This window comes from Homo sapiens, chromosome 2 (assembly GCF_000001405.40).
Source record: "Homo sapiens chromosome 2, GRCh38.p14 Primary Assembly".
In the NCBI taxonomy this organism is placed as follows: domain Eukaryota; kingdom Metazoa; phylum Chordata; class Mammalia; order Primates; family Hominidae; genus Homo; species Homo sapiens.
In genome coordinates this window covers 177762396-177779644 of record NC_000002.12, presented here as the reverse complement: position 1 = coordinate 177779644, position 17249 = coordinate 177762396, and the positions used below count along the sequence as shown (strand labels likewise).

The following is a 17249-nucleotide window of genomic DNA, read 5'->3' as shown; positions in this document are numbered from 1 at the left end:
CATGGTAAAACTTGAACAGATGAGGAGTTGCTTCTCATAAATGAACAAAGAAAGTGGTTTCCTGAGATGGAATATACACTTGGTGAAGATGCTGTGAACATTATTGAAATGAAAACAAAATATTTAGAATATTACACAAATTTAGTTGACAAAACAGTGGCAGGAATTGAGAGGACTGACTCCAATTCTGAAAGAAGTTCTACCGTGGGTAAAATGCTATCAAGCAGCATTGTATGCTACAGAGAAATATTTCATGAAAGGAAGAGTTAATTCATGTGCAAACCTCATTGTCTTATTTTATGAAATTGCCATAGCTTCAGCAACCACCGCACTGATCTATCAGCAGCCCTCAACATTCAAGCAAGACCCTCCACCAGCAAAAATATTACGACTTGCTGAAGGCTCAGATGATCATTAGCATTTCTAGCAATAATGTATTTTTAAATTAAGGTATGTGCATTGTTTTTTAGATATGCTATTACACACTTAATAGGCTACAGCATAGTATAAACATAACTTTTATATGCACTGGGAAACCAAAAAACGTATGTAACTCACTTTAATGCTACATTCACTTTATTGAGGTCGTCTGGAACCAAACTCTCAATATCTCTGAGGTATGCCTGTATTTTATTATTACCCCATGTTTGGCAGGTATCTTTTATTCTACTTTCAATTTTAAAAAAATGAATCTTTCTTAGATTTTTTAAAAATATTTTTTATGATCGATTCTGAAGGTCATGATAACAGATCACACAGCAGACACAGTTATCTGAAGTACCTTTTGAACATTTCATTCTATTATACAGCAGTGTCTTAAATACTTGACAATAAAAACTGATGATTTCTCAGTTTCAACGCGTCTGTTCAGTTGCCATGTCTTTGAATACTGTCATCATCTTGTTAAGAAATCCTGGAGTATGGTTCTTCATATAGTTAGATGACACTTCTGTCGGGTTATTCCAAGTAAATTGGCTTTTCATTCCTTGTGGTTTGTCATCTTTCTTAGTTTAAGGACTACTGCTGAGAGCAAAGCTTCTTTATTTCTTTGGAGCTCATCAATATAAATTATTTGGGATTTTACTTCAGATCAGCTTAGCTTAAGTCGGCCATCCAGCCTTTACCAAGTGCCACTTTGCCAGCAGAGCAATAAACGTATTCATGCAGCCCTTTTGTGCCTGAGACACTCAGTCTGGATCCTCAGTGGGGTCTTTGTTCCTCCTCGCTCTTAAGTGCTTCTTTACATTTGTGTTTCTCTCTGCTGGTATAATGGTCCATATCTCATTTCAGGAGCAAATGGCTGCCCAAATCCACAACAAATTAACATTCAAGACAATTGGTGCAAGAGGTCTGTCTTCCAGCTACTCAGGGACAGTTCTGGGGGCTGCAAGACAAGCATTTGGTTCTGGTCCTGAACTGCATGTAGAGAATGGCAAGGCTTGATCCAGTGGTCCTATCTCATAGCTCTGCCCATTGTTTTTCTTTTGAAATATAGTTAATTGTCTTTTCTTGCTGTGTAAATGCAACACAAAAACGTGACTTCTTTCCTCTCTCTTTCATGGGTCCGATAATTGCCTTATCTGCTTTTTTGTTGTTGTTTTGCTGGAAGCAAGTTCAATCCAAAAGTTAATTAAAGTTGGTATGGTTTTGCAAATAGTGATTTATTTTAGAAACTATAAAAATTTCTTAAGTCAGAGCTCACCAACAAAACTGAGTCAAAAATATTTGCTCAATTAATACCAACACAAAAGATAAATCCATCTATCAGAAATTTTCTTGTGAAAGTTTAATGCTCATCAAGTGTTCTGTGGATTAACTGTTTGCTTTTGTATGTATGCTTTACACAAATTTTATTTAGCTGTCGAAAAAATTAACTGATATGTACGTTATAGTAATACTCTCATAACCTGTTTCTCATAGAGTATGATAGTATATTTATAAAACCATGTCTTACAAATGCCTCTTTCTTCAAAACTATTATAATGCATTCAATTAAAGCATTTTTACTTGATCAAAGGTATTATTATTCAAAAATGTATGATGAACCTAGATACTTGCTATGAAATATATAGTTTGGAATTGTGGAGGAAACTAACTTATCCAGGAAGGTAGGGCAATAGTACTTTTAAATAATATGATTCTGCAATTTGTTAAGATTTATTCTCAACTATAGAAATTTGCCTGATTTTTAGTCATTATCTGAGCCATATAATATTATTTATGTATATAAAACAGTAACGATTCTCTTGAAGATTGACTATGCTAAAAGTAATTAAGAATTACTTTTTTTATATTTCCTTCAATGGCCTCCATAGATTTGTGACAGGTCTTAGGTTAATGAGGTTATGTGACTGTATAAACTTGCTTGGGCTGCCATAACAACAAAATACCACAGACTGGGTCACTTAAACAACAAATATTTATTTTCTTACAGTTCTGGAGGCTAGAAGTTCACAATCAGGGTGTGTATCAGTTCCTTCTTACTCTGCTAATAAAGGCATACCCAAGACTGGGTAATTTATAAAGGAAAGAGGTTTAATTGACTCACAGTTCAGCATGGCTGGGGAGGCCTCAGGAAACTTACAATCAGCAGAAGGGAAGCAAACATGTCCTTCACATGGTACAGGAAGGAGAAGTGCCGAGCAAAAGGGGGAAAAGCCACTTATAAAACCATCAGATCTCATGAGGACTCACTATCATGAGAACAGCATGAGGGTAACTGCCCCCCCATGCTTCAGTTACCTCCCACCAGGTTCCTACCATGACATATAGACATTATGGGAACTACAATCCAAGATGAGATTTGGTTGGGGACACAGCCAAACCATGTCAGGATGCCAACATGTTCAGGTTCTGGTGACGGCTATCTTTCTGGCTTGCAGATGGCCACCTTCTCTCTGTGTCCTCACCTGGTCTTCTATTTCTGTTATTCATATTCCGAACTCCTCTTCTTGTAAGGACCCCAGTCATATTGGATTAGGACACACCCACATCCCACATGACCTCATTTTACCTTAAGTACCTCTTCAAAGGCCCTGTCTCCAAATACAGTCATATTCTGATGTCCTGGGAATTAGAAATTCAATAAATGAATTGGTGGGGATTGGGGGGCACAATTCCCCTCATAATAGTAGCATTGCTGAAAATATTTCAGACTTGAGGCATTTGGTAAGCTTAGCAGATAAAATATTTTGGAAGAAATGTCATTGGGAGATGTTGTGAGGTGGGGGTGAAAGGAGAAACAGTATTTTGGCATGTAGCTTAGCGTTTTCCGGATTTGTTTCTAGCCTTCTTAATTTGGAGCATGTAGAAGGAGGGTTGCCAGATAAAATACAGGACACTTAAGTACATTTGAATTTCAGATAAACCATAAATCAATTTTAAGTATGCATATGACACAAATAGTGAAAATATTTATTGCTGATCTGAAATTCAAGTTTAACTGTGGGTGTCCTCTATTTTTATTTGCTAAAACTGGTGATCCTACCTACATTGCTTACTTTATGCTCATATATAAGGCATATCATGATTTCATTGAAAAAAATACACTAATTCAGGCCATTAATAATACAAACAGTGAGACATATGGGTAATGGAGATACTGTTTTAAAATGTTTTTATTTTTTATTCCTTGATTCATTAAATATTTACTAAGTGCCAACTAAGTATCAACCATACTCCCAGGGATAGGATATACCTTCATGACCAAAACTAGACCAATCCTTGCCTTCAAAGTGCTTACAGTCTAGTAGGGGAGGCAGGTGATGAATAAGATAACAGGCAACTCCAATTGTGCAAGTGGCATGAAGGAAACAGCCACTTAACTCAGAGAATAATGGAGTTAACAGAGGCTGATTTCTCATGGTGGTCAGGGAATAAGTCACTGAAGGGGTGACATTTAACTTAGTTTCAGAAGATGATACCAATGAGGTGATGAGGACAGGGAAGCTCTGAGGTAGAAAAGCGCTTGGTGTATAAATGAACAAAAATGAACAAAAATGAGTGTGGCCAAGTGTGTAGAAGACAGAGCACAGGCAGCACGAAGTTTAGTTTGAGAACGTGCCAACAGTCAGATGGTGCAGGACCTGTCCAGTCACGATCCAGGCTTTGGACCTAACCTCATGAACCTGAGATTTGTGACCAATCTGTGGATGCCATTGAAGGAAATACAGCAAAAGTGCAGTGGGAAGCCACTGGTGACTTTTCAGCTGGGAGATGGCATGATTTGATTTCTACTTTTTAAAGATCACTCTGGCTGATGTGTACCAAGGAGACTGGATTAGTATCCAATTGATACTAATTGATTGGATGGAGTGGCACTTACAGAGCTGGGGAAGACTGAGAGAGAAATGGGTTTGTGTGGTATATTAGTTTCCTGTGGCTGCTGTAACGAATTACCACGATCTTAGTGGATTAAAACAACACATACTTATTATCTTACAATCCTCAGGTCAGATGTCTGAAATGGGTCTTACTGGGCAAAATTCAAGATGTATGTAAGGCTACATTCTTCTGGAGACTCTAGGGGACAATCCATTTCCTTGCCTTTTCCACAGAAAACCTACCTGCATTCTGTGCTCGTGGCCCCTTCCATTTCAAAGTTAGCAATGGCTAGTCAAGTCTTTCTTACATTGCATCACTCTCATTCTCCTGTCTCCTTCTTTCACTTATAAGGACCCCTGTGATTACATGAAGCAAAGCCAGATAATCCAAGATAATCCATCTCAAGGTGACAAGATTAGCAATCTTAATTCCATCTGCAACCTCAGTTCCTCCTTGTGACATATCATATACACAGATTCCAGTGATTAGGACATGGACATCTTGTGGGGGAGCATTATTCTGTCTATCACATATGGGAAAATCTTCATGTTTATTTAGACGTGTTAAATTTGAAAAGCCAGTGAATTGACCAAGTTGGAAGTTAGTAATGTAGGCAGACGAATATGTGAGTGCAAAACTCAAAGAGATTTGAAAGTTATCAACACAACGATGGTGTATAAAGCCATGAGAGTGTATGGCATCACTGAAGAAGAGACTGAGCCTAGAAGCTTCCACATTTACAGTTAAGGTAGAGGATGAGGGGCCAAAAAAGAAAACATAAAGAGCAGCCAAAGAAATAGGATGAAAACCAAAATAATGTGGTGTCATGGAAGCCCAGAAAGGAGACTTTTCAAAATAGGAGTGAGTGCTCTCCCAAGTTTAATACTGCTGCAAAAGGCAATTGGAGATTCATCAATGGATTTGTTGGCAAGAAATTGAAAGCCTTGACACGAGCTGTTCCAGTGGAGAGGTGGGGGCAGAACCAAAACTGAGGCATATTGAGGAGTAAATGGGATATGGCCAGTGACCATAGGTGATGGGGAAAAGTCCTATGTGACCACAATAGCATGTGTAGATGCTTGTTAAAATTAGCAAGGCAAATACATTTGGTCACAGGCTTTTCAACAAGAAGCTGGGAGCTAAGCAGAAACTTAGCTTGGTTGTGTATTTACATCCAGTCAGAATCGCATGATGGCTAAATTGATACAATACATGAAAGAGGTACAGATATTACTGGGTTCTCGCTGTGCCCTGTGTGTAAAACCTGCAAACACTGAGGGTAAACTGAAGCACCACCATCTTTCTGAATGCATCCCAGAAAATCCTATGGGACCAAACAGAAGGAACTGCTTAAAGAAGAAAATCAGAGTTCTTAAGCAAGATTTAAGGGTCTCTTATCTTAAGGAATCCACTCCTCTGGCTTGTTGGTTTTTCTACGGATTCTTAGAGGGAACAATGCTACCATCTTCCTGGACTGTGGTTTAGCAATAGGGCCCAGTCCTTCAGAACAATGTACTCCTATTAGCCGATGATTCCTCCCTGCTCACCAACATGGATTGTACTCTTCTGGGAAAAGGTAGTTGAAAGATTCTTTAGCTAGACCATTTCTCTCCCCCCTCTACTGGTTCTTGGAGTCCTACAAACAGGAACTCTCAGAAACAAGAAGATCCAGAAGGTAAACCAGAAGCTTCCTTATCATTAACTTTGTCTAATTAGGTAGAATAAATAAATTCCTATGTACTTAATAGATTAGCCAGTAGAGGCTTAAAATCTCAGGATACAATCCAAAAAAGCTTTAGGTCTAAGATGTGGCCCATGAAATTTAAGAATCATGAAAAAGTAACCAAAGCATGTATTTATTTCGTTAAGGTCTTATTCTTTAACTGTACATACATTTAATTTCAGATGTATCATAGACCTAAACATAAAAGATAAAACTATAAAGTTTGTAGAAGACAGCATGAGGTATATATTCACAACTCGGGGGCAGTAAAAAAATTTTAGAAAGGATATGTGAGATTGAGCACAGTGGCTCATGCCTGTAATCACAACACTTTGGGAGGGAGAATTGTTTGAATCCAGGAGTTCAAGACCAGCCTGGGCCACATAGTGAAACCCTGTTTCTATAAAAAAATTACCTGGGCGTGGTGGTGTGTTCCTGTAATCCCAGCTACTTGGGAGGCTGAGGTGGGAGGATCACTTGAGCCAGGGAGGTCAAGGCTGCAGTGAGCTGAAATCATGCCACTGTACTCCAGCCTGAGTGATAGAGTGAGACTCTTCAAAAAAAAAGAAAGAAATAATATGTGAAACGATAGCAATTTAAATAATTGACAAATTACACTTTATCAAAATTTAAAACTTCTGTTTATTAAAAGACACATTAAAAGAAAATTAATAGACAAGCCATAGACTGGAGGTAATATTTATGAAACATATGTCTGACAGAGGACTTGAATCCAAAATATACAAAGAACTCCTACAACTCAATAACAAACAAAACAAACTATTGTAATTTTAAATGAGCAAAAGTCTTAATCTGTAATAATTGTCTGCTTCACTGTTTCAAATTGTTTCAATTTAGTGGAGTAAATAGCTTTTTTTTTTTTTTAAATAAAGGAAGTGGGAAGAGTTGATTTAAACAAACCTAACTAAGCACCACCTGGTGGCATAGATTTTGAATTGCAGCTTGAGTTTTTGTGGGTTATTTTTTAAAGGTAAAGTTTGAAGAGTGAATCTGCAGAAATAGACTTGAAAACAGTAAGAAATTCTAATAAAATGACAGCCAAATTAAATTTTACCACAGTAAAACTGAAACAAAAGAGCAAAATCAATTCATCTGTGCACTGAAATACCTATTGATATTTTAAGATAAGATAATGACATAACATAATATCCAGCCAAATATTTATTTGGTAGAATTTTAATTGAATATTAATACAATACCTATAAGTTGGCTATTTGTGTGCCACATTATTTTACATGTAGTATTGCATTTAATCTTCCTAAGAACTCTGTAAAGTACAGGCCCACTCCATAGAATATTTCCTTGGTTAAAATTTCCCAGTAGAATATATCTTTATTTTTAATAACCAAACCTCATAGAACATATTTATCTCTCAATACAACATTTTTCTGAGTCCCCTCCCAAAGATAAAAAAGGATTGAGAAAACTATGGAAAAACAAGTAAACTCAGTAAAAAAAAGTCTACAATGGAAGAGAAAGTATTACTTAACACAAAGAAACTTTTTGTTAATAACTATATTAGTTATGATCAGAAAGTAGCATTATTTTTATTTATTTATTTATTTATTTATTTATTGAGACAGAGTCTCACTCTGTCACCCAGACTGTAGTGCAATGGCACGATCTCGGCTCACTGCAACCTCCGCCTCCCGGGTTCAAGCGATTCTCCCGCCTCAGCCTCCCAAGTAGCTGGGATTACAGGCACCCATCATCATGCCCAGCTAATTTTTCTATTTTTGTAGAGGTGGGGTTTCATCATGTTGGCCAGGCTGGTATTGAACTCCTCACCTCAGGTGATCTGCCCGCCTCAGCCTCCCACAGAAAGTAACATTTTAAGTAACTATAACATAACTGTATTTTTTGTTTTAAATATACCTATGAATTTTACTGTGCTTTAGTTGAGTTTTAAGAAGTTGCTGCAGATCTTATAATACACTGTAATTTTTTTCCAATTAAAAATAATTAAAAGTAGACTCCTTGTTAGTGTTTTCAGGAGGAGCCTCTACGTTAAGCAGGAGATGCCTGTGTAGTATTATGTTATACCACCTTATAAATGAGACCCAAAGAGATTAAACCACTTGCCCAAGCTCCCAGGGCTCGGAAGTGGAGGCGTGGCAGCCTGACTCTGAAGGCTGTGTTCTAACCACCCTGAGACACTGCTTCCATTGTGGCTTTGCTTGTATCACACAAATGGTATGTGCCATAGGTCAGTGCTTCTCAAAGTTCTTGGTCAATAGGTTATTAGGTTGAATGTTACCAGTTTAATGTTACCTAAAAGGGAGTTCTGTGGCTAATTAAATTTGGGAAATACTAAGTTTAATGAAATAAAGCATGTTACTTTACTTTTTGCAGCCAAATATGCACTGTGATTCTCTAAGGTTTGTAGGTGAAGAAGGAGTTAGCATTTCCCAGACTTATTTGTTTGAGATTTGTGTAGATTAAGAATGTAGGCTGGGTGCGAAGGCTCATGCCTATAATCCCAGCACTTTGGGAGGCTGAGGCGGGAGGATCGCTTGAACCCAGGAGTTTCAGACCAGCCTGGAAAACATGATGAGACACCTGTCTCTACAAAACAATACAAAAATTAGTTGAGCATAGTGGTGTATGCCTGTGGTCGCAGCTACTTGGGATGCTGAGGTGAGAGAATCGCTTGAGCTCAGGAGGTCAAGGCTTCAGTGAGCTATGATCACACTACTGCACTCTAGCCTGTGCAATAGAGTGAGACCTGTCTCAAAAACAAAACCACAACAAACATGTGTCTGGCAGCATAAAACATATAACATACATATGCTATTTATGTGTGAGTGTGTATATGTCTGTAAATATGCCTTATAAAATGCCACCAATGTGCATTTATTTGTCTCACACAACAAGAATTCTGGGGCAGGGGAGCCCAGGGTCCTTTCTCTTTCCCTTTCTGTTCTGTTCACAGCAAGCTGGCATTCACTGCCATGCTTGTCACCTCATACACACCAGATTTTGCTGCACCTCCAGGCTTTACAGCTGTATTCCATGAAGGAAGAAAAAGAAAGAAGCAGCGCCGACACTCCCACTTATAATTCATTGACCAAGGCCGTGTCATAAAGGCCACCCTATAGGACCACCCCAGCTGCAGGGAGCCTGCGAATTGGGGTTTTTAACTTTTAAGCCTCTGTGTCAGTGAGTTATGATGTAGATAAATTGCAAAAGTTGATTCTCACTCAAATGACATGCCATCAGCTGCAGGTTGGCTGCAGTTCTACTCAATATATCTTCTTTATTTGGGGGCTCAGACTGAAGGATCGGCCCCTCTCAGGCCATGCCCTTCCCTTGGTGGAGGGAAAAAGGAGGTGGCAGAACTATGTGATTGCTGTTGAAGACACACTCAAAAGGGCATTTGTTACTTTTCCCATTGACCAAAAGAAGTCATATGCCAATGCTGATGTCAATAGGGCAGGGAAGCACAATCCTCTTACAAAAGGGGTCACAGATATATATCAATATAATCTTTCCTAATATAATAAAAGCAGGCAAATGAGAATAGGTGAGGAAATGGAAGTTGAGTCATCAACCTACAGTGTTTGCTACAGATCGCACACACATGCTCTAGCTTTTCATTTGCTTGTAGAGCATTTCACAGGACAAGTATTCACATCCTTTGGGAACTACAGTTTTGAGCCACAGCATGCCTTTTTTTTTTTTTTTTTTTTTTTGATAGGGTCTTACTCTGTCGCCCAGGCTGGAGTGCAGTGGCATGATCTCAGCTCACTGCAGCCTCGACCTCCTGGGCTCAGGTGATCCTCCCATCTCAGCCTCCCTGAATAGCTGGGACTACAGACACACACCACCATGCCCAGCTAGTTTTTGAATTTTTTGTAGAGACAAGGTTTCGCCATGTTGCCCAGGCTGGTCTCAAATTCCTGGGCTCAAGTGATCTGCCCATCTTGCCCTCCCAAATGCTGGGATTACAGGCGCGAAGCACTGCACCTGGCCATTGTCCTTTTGATGACATAACTACCCATAGAAAAATCCCGGTATAAAATATTCTTTAATATGTGAATTATGTCAGAGAATGTTATTAGACATGTTGTTTCTTGTCATACATTAAAGTCCACCTTTAAATCAAGGTGATATACATAAGCAAAGCTTATTTTTAAGCCAGGAGAATTTCAGAAAATACAGTCATGTCTAGTTATTAAAATTATTTTTTTTTCTTCTGAATCAGGTGCTATCATACCATGCAACATGTTCAAAAGCTGAAGTTGACAAGTTTAAGGTAAGGAAGAAAATGGTTTCCTTATTAGTGCATACAGTTAAACTTCTCCTGGCCTCCTGAGCTCTGTCACATGCCTCTAGAGAATTAATCCTGCCCATTGGGAGCTGGAGGACTAGCACTGGGCAAAGGTGTATTTTTATATTTCTGTTTTAGAGGGGAAGAAGGACTTTTGTATAACTGAGTAGTCATTTTATAATCATGTACATGATTCAGTATTTCTTCCCATTTATTAAGAAAGCACGATATCAGGGAAAAAAAAGTCTATAATATGGTGAGAATCAGGACACCCGGTTTTGGCATCAGTTTTACCTCTAACTTGCTGTTCAGTTAAAAGCTTAGGGCTGTATTTCCATCTGTAAAAATATGTGACGAGATTGGGATAATAATAGCTAACACTAAGTGCTTGCTGTGTGCCAGACACACTACCAAGCGTTTTACCTGCATTAATTCATTTAATCCTCACAATCCTGTGAAAAACATACTATTTTACAGATGAATAAATTGAAGCATGGAGATGCCAGGCCAAGGTCAAACAATTGTAAGACGTATGACAATCTGGTCCCAGAACTGGAGTTCTTAACCACCATGCTTCACTACCGCACAGAGTGATCCCCTTTCAACTCCAACATCTGATGAGTCTATGAATGAGTGTTAGATATTCCTTATCACCTTAGTTACTACCATTTCCTTAAGTGCAATTCAGAATTCCTGCTTGTGTCCCTGCACTCCTACCAGGCAGTTTTAGCAATGAGCAAAACACGGGAGTAAAGGGAAATTGATTTCCTTTCCTTTTGAAAGTTTTGGTGCCTGCCTTTTTATATTTAGGTGGCAGTTCAGAAAATTATCAGGAAAAGCTACCACAGTGATGAGAAAGATCATGTTTTATACTGCAATATTAGAATGTAATATCACTTGGTGATGGACACTTTTCTAAGAGTCCCATTTGCATATATATGGTGCAGAGACCATTGGGCCTAAGAATTGAATCAGATCATTAGAACTGAGCACTTGAATGACAAAAGGGAGCAAAGGAAGATGTTTGTTCCAAACACAAGCGCATGAATGATGAAAGGGAGCAAAGGAAGATGTTTGTTCCAAACACAAGCGCATGAATGATGAAAGGGAGCAAAGGAAGATGTTTGTTCCAAACACTGAGAGTAGGGATAAAAGAACTCCTCGCAAGGGCCGGAAGCAGCACATACACTGCAAGCATAGGAACTGCTCAGGCTCCATCCAAGGATAGGGTCTATTATTGACATAGAGAGATGCTTTGGGGAAAGACCTGCAATTGTAACCCAGATAAAAAGGGAGAGATAGGGTGCCACCAAGAGGTGACAGCTGACAGCAGAGGGAGGAGACAGAACAACTAAAACCACAGCAGTCAGGGCCCATTTGTTGCAGAGGAAAACATCCTGCATACCAGCTTGAACTCAAGCTCCATCAGGACAGCACTAATTGTGTTTTATTCACTGCTGTATCTCTCCTGCCTTTTTTGGTCCTTGGGACATAGTAACACTCAATAGATACTTGTTGAATGGATGAATGAATGAATGGAAAAGTGAATGAATAAATACATCTGAAGAGCACCAATGGTTCTAGAACTCGAAGCAGTTGGTCATTAAGAAAATTTTAAAACGGTGATAATATATAATTATTTTATATATTTCATATAAATTTTACTTAATGTATGTAAATTTTATACATTTTCCATCAAAAATATTTAAGCTTTTTAATGTTAGCCAATAAAGTTCAATTATTTAGGAATCCTATTTATGAAAATATCCAGTTCCTGCTAAAATGCTAATGTAATGTTTATATTATATTTTTGCTGTTGTTATAATTATCATCATTGCTAAAAGAGGGTGGGGTAGGCAAGAAGAAAGACAGCAAAGATGATAATATGAGCTTTGACTCATATGACTAGATATGACTGCAAGAGCTGCCCAGAGATATAGCAGGCCAAAATCCATAGTTGTTTACTTTTTTTTTTTGAGACAGAGTCTTGCTCTTTGTCACCCAGGCTGGAATGCAGTGGCACAGTCTCAGCTTACTGCAACCTCCACCTCCCGGGTTCAAGTGATTCTCCTGCTTCAGCCTCCCAAGTAGCAGGGATTACAGGCGCGCATCACCATGCCCTGCTAATTTTTGTATTTTTAGTAGAGACGGGGTTTCACCATGTTGGTCAGGTTGGTCCCGAACTCCTGACCTTGTGGTCTGCCTGCCTCAGCCTCCCGAAATTCTGGGATTACAGGCATGAGCCACCATGCCTGGCCTAGCTGTTTACTTTCTAAAGGCACCAACATTCAGGCTTAATTTTTTGCTTAAAGAAAACATTGTCCTGGAATTTGGTATGCATTTCTATTGTTAGCTCACAAATATATTAAAATATGAAGTTTTTAAATTTGAGAACAAAGGGTTATTTTATCTTAAAATTATCAAGATTAATAATTTAACTGATTTACTCCAGATTTTATCATGACAGATATTAGCTAGTATCCTATTACAATGTAACTGAGATATAGTAGATCATTTTAACCATTTTAAAATGGGATTTTTCTTGATATAGACAGTAAATAAAACATTATTCTAATTGGTAGTTGATGTCTGTTATAACTGCAGCAATAACATTAAAATGTAGTGGGCTTAACATAATCCTGCACATAGACAGTGAAAAGCGTTTACTGAAATTCCAGGCTGGAGTATGTGCAATGGCAGTTTTCTAACATTGTAGCTAAATAATAGTAAATACATGCTTTGTTTTGACCAATATATATGACAAACCATGTTTACGTTCAAGTGTATTGTCATTCTTCCTACCTGCAGTACTTTTTTAACAAACATGATTGTAAAAAAGTTTTTTTAAGTGTGCAATGATTTGAAGTCTGGAATCAGTTATCCGTGAGATTTCATGAGTTAAAGAAGGGGTCCTTAACCCAGCCCATGGACTGGTACCAGGCCACACAGCAGGAGGTGAGCAGCAGGCGTGCAAATATTACCACCTGAGCTCCGCCTCCTGTCAGATCAGCAGTGGCATTAGATTCTCATAGGAGTGCAAACCCTATTGTGAACTGCACATGTGAGGGATCTAGGTTGCGTGCTCCTTATGAGAATCCAATGCCTGATGATATGAGGTAGAACAATTTTATTCCAAAACCATTCCCACACCCCCACCCCTCCCAGGTCCATGGAAAAATTGTCTTCCATGAAACTGGTCCCTGGCGCCAAAAAGCATGGAGACCACTGAGTTAAAGGATGGCTGAGTCCCAGTGTATTGGATTATACCCGACCAGACTAGTGATCAGTGATTCAGAGCTTAAGCCAGAGTTTGGGAAGAAACTGATTCATCCAATGCTGACAAAAATCTGGAGGTCAAATTTTACATACGTAAATATGACAGACTTCAGTTGGAACCCAAGTTGCACCACATCTGGGATGCAGAAATGTCTGGGAGACAAGCTAGTTGTAGTTATTTACATGAGAGACTAACAGGCCTTCTGAGTCAAGAACTCTTCCTCATGAAAGTTAAGGCCATGGACCTCAGTGTCTAGATGATTCCAAGTTCAGCATGTAGTTTGTACCTTGGATTTATCCCTCACCTCAGCCTCCCATGGATCCATGTTCTCAGCTCAGAACGTGAGTAAACACAGAAGGCATGAGCTTTGGTATGGTTTCAGTGCATCAAATGCTCCCGATAGAATGGGTCAGTGTGCTAACAGAAGGCAGCAGCCTAATGAAGGAAGCATCACTACGGACCCGTGGCAGGGCCCCTTCCTACCTGTGTGACCAGCAGAAGCTGATGGCATCGATGGAATCAATGCAGGCTCAGTGGTCACATTTTAAGGCAGGTAAGGTACACCCTGAGGACTCCCAAAAATAAGTAGGAGAGATGGAGACTCTGTACTATTGGAGAATGTGATATATACACCATTAATTACTCTTAGTTTGTACCATTTGTACTCAGAGATTGTGGGGCCTAAAGGAAGATTGATTTCACATAAGATAAACCTGTAGTGAATCTTTTAATAATCATTAATGCTAGGCTGATGCCATCTTACCCTTCCTCATATCTGGTCTTTCTGTTTCATACTCCTTTATGTTTTGGGATTTTCTCCCCCTATTCTAGAATGCCTTGTTAGGGAGAGTGTTGTTGTTCTGTTTTGTTCTGATAACCCTATTACTTCTGTTGGGAAAAATTTCCTTGAGGAGCATGTAGTAGTGATGGGTGGGAGAATGGGATTAGAGTGTGAAAACCTTTCTAGAAGTGTCCTTGGACTGTGCAGCCAGAATAAATAGATAAAACAACATATAATTACTCATCCAAGAATGTCAGAATTTGGGTTTATTTTTCCTGATTCTGATATATCATTTATACTTCAAGAAACAGTCTTTCTTGCAGCTTCACCTATACACAAAAAGATCACAGAACTTCCTGGAACTAATGAATTAACTATTTCAAAAGTCTGATTCAGGTTGTAGTATCAATAAATTATCCTTTATGGGTTGATTGCCCTGTGCATCTAATGAGGAAACCAGGATCTAAAAAATGGTTTTTAATCCTCATTAACATTTACTGATCTTCCATGAACTTGAAATAAGAAAGTTATATACAGAAAATTTGTGCATATTTTAGTGACTGTTTTTATCTCTGCAGCTCTGTGCTAACAGGAATAATGTATAAAGACCACATTGACAATTACATCTCCTTGAAGATGGCTGGTTTAAAGGCTTTCAATAACCTAAAGATGCCAGCTGTGATAACATAAGAAAATGAGTTTAGTACCCCAATTATATGCTCCTGTAATTTTATGGACTTTCCTTAAATTGCAATGCGGTGGACAGACCAAACAATTCTCACTATATATTGCCAGTTTACCAATTAAAATCAACTCATGGATGTTGTGGTGTTATATTGCCACCTTGTATCATCCCTTCCTTCAATTGAGCACTGCATGGGTTACGGCTGCAATCAGAGATGAACTCATTTACAGCACTGTAACTGCCTCAGTAATTAAGCACCAGTAACTCAGGTTGGGGTTTGGGTTTGGACTACCTCATACATATTTCAAGTTTTCAATGTTAATGACTAGGCCACAAATTAATATCCTAGTAAATAAAATAAAATAAAATAAAGTACCAAGAATAGGTACTCCTTGTGGCATTTATATACTGAAATAAGAATGACTGCATCAAAAATAGGATCTTATGACCTCCTTTGCAGACTGAGCAATAGGATGTGATTTACTAGGCTTAAAAAAAATTAGATTTGATAAGACACTTTAATCCATGAAATAGTGTATAATAAGAAGCTTCAGCCCTCAAGACTGCCTTTACAGCTATGCCAGGAGATGTGTCTGCCTTATGCCCTGCACTAGGGCCCCTTGCACAGCAGGCGGGTGCAGGGCTGCCCCCCTTCTCTTGGCTGGCCAAGTGCATGGAGTGCCTTTTAGTAGTTGATCCACCAGGTGGCGCTCCTTTCTCCAATTGCCACAAAGGCACTACACGCGCTAGCCACCGCCCTGTGCAATCAATTTCCGAAGCCCTGGAAGAGCCCAATTCTTGCAGCAGCCCCTTGCAGAGGCGGAGTGCACTATGCAGACAGAGGGTAACACCATGGCATTTACCCAAACTCAGGCGACACAGAGAACGCCGAAGAGGAAGAGGGGTAGACCTGAGTCCCATGGACAGCAGCGGGGTGGCAGAGGCCGGGAGCTTACTACCCACCCCATCGGTAGGGGCACCTCCAGCTCCTCCCCCTCAGGGCAGATGACCCATAGAGGCTCCTCCACAGCCGGGGATAAAGCAGGACTTCTGGGTACCAGAAAGAGGGCAGGAGCTTTGTCTTGTTTATCTACAGTCTCAGTTCTCATGGCCTTCCTGAAATGCTACCTTCTGAAATCCCAACAGTGGCTTTCCAGTGCATCTCGGGTCATTTCTAAGGTTGTTTAAAAGATTACCTCGAAGCTATATAGAAGGAATTCGTTACCTAGCCTATGCTGTCTCCTCTTCTGTGCCCGCCTTTGGAATTTAGGAAGTTGTTTTGACTTTAAATAGTATTTATGTCAAGTTTAATATCCGAGTTTTTTTTTTATCGTCAGAGAAAGTTATTGAACCTTCACCAGGAAATTGACTGCAGAGGAAACAGCTGCATCAGCACCCTAAAGGGCATCTCCTGCTCACAAGCAGCAGCCGAGCCGGGCGGCTTGCACTGCTCAGGACGCATCCATAAATATGCGGAGTGCTTCGCGTTCAAATGTCCGGCTGTCTGTATGAATTGTGTCTTAATCAAATGCCACATCAGAAAAAGGATGGTTGTACTTTGTCACTCTTGAGTATTGAAGATAGTGGCGGAGGGCGGGGGAGTGGGTGCTGAGCATGAGGGGAACCAGATCTGCAAGCCCAGGCTCGTCTTCCCTCCTGCTGAGCTAAGCGGCTAGGTATTGAGGGCCCTTCAAGGACCCGCCTGACCAAAATACATCCTGTGGTGACCCTGACCTCCCCTCACATCAACTTCAGCAGCCACTATTTGTCACTTCTTTCTATTTGAAAACAAAGCGAGGACACTCTCCCCAGAAGATCACTGTGAGCATCTCCTTTCCCTGGGAGGAAGAGCGGGCCTGGAGGATTTTCTCCCACCTTCTCCCTCCCCCATGTTAGCACAGCAGAATTCACTGCATTCCCTAAGTGTCACACGGGAAGGCGCAGGAAGTCTGAACTTGAGGCAGTGAAACAAAGGAGGGCTCATTTTTGTTTCAGAGCGCTAGGAACAAAGCGGCGACAAGTCCTGAAGGTCCAGTGGAGAGCAACAGTGTGGCCCAGTGAGATCCCTGACTCCTGAACTGTGAAGGGAACTGGAGAGGTTAAAGTCATCAGAACCTTCCAGAACACTAGCGCATCTGGGACTGTATCACTTTATCTTCTTTTTAGTTT

At 39.7% G+C, this 17249-nt stretch overlaps 1 protein-coding gene across 4 annotated transcripts in view, besides 1 other annotated feature; it reads left to right on the top strand.

Annotated features, from left to right (window-relative positions):
- Positions 1 to 17249, top strand: part of PDE11A (phosphodiesterase 11A) — a 485096-nt gene that overhangs the window by 328695 nt on the left and 139152 nt on the right. For all 4 annotated transcript variants that reach the window (NM_001077197.2, NM_016953.4, NM_001077358.2 and 1 more), the window contains one exon: positions 10272 to 10322. In NM_001077197.2, coding sequence (NP_001070665.1) covers positions 10272 to 10322 — 51 coding nt within the window. The remainder of the gene's footprint in view (positions 1 to 10271; positions 10323 to 17249) is intronic.
- Positions 15610 to 15904: a silencer, noted in NCBI's record as "tiled region #15369; K562 Repressive DNase unmatched - State 12:CtcfO". NCBI's record gives its function as "represses a minimal TATA promoter and a strong SV40 promoter by Sharpr-MPRA in K562 cells {active_cell/tissue: K562}" and the evidence as "EXISTENCE:reporter gene assay evidence [ECO:0000049][PMID:27701403]".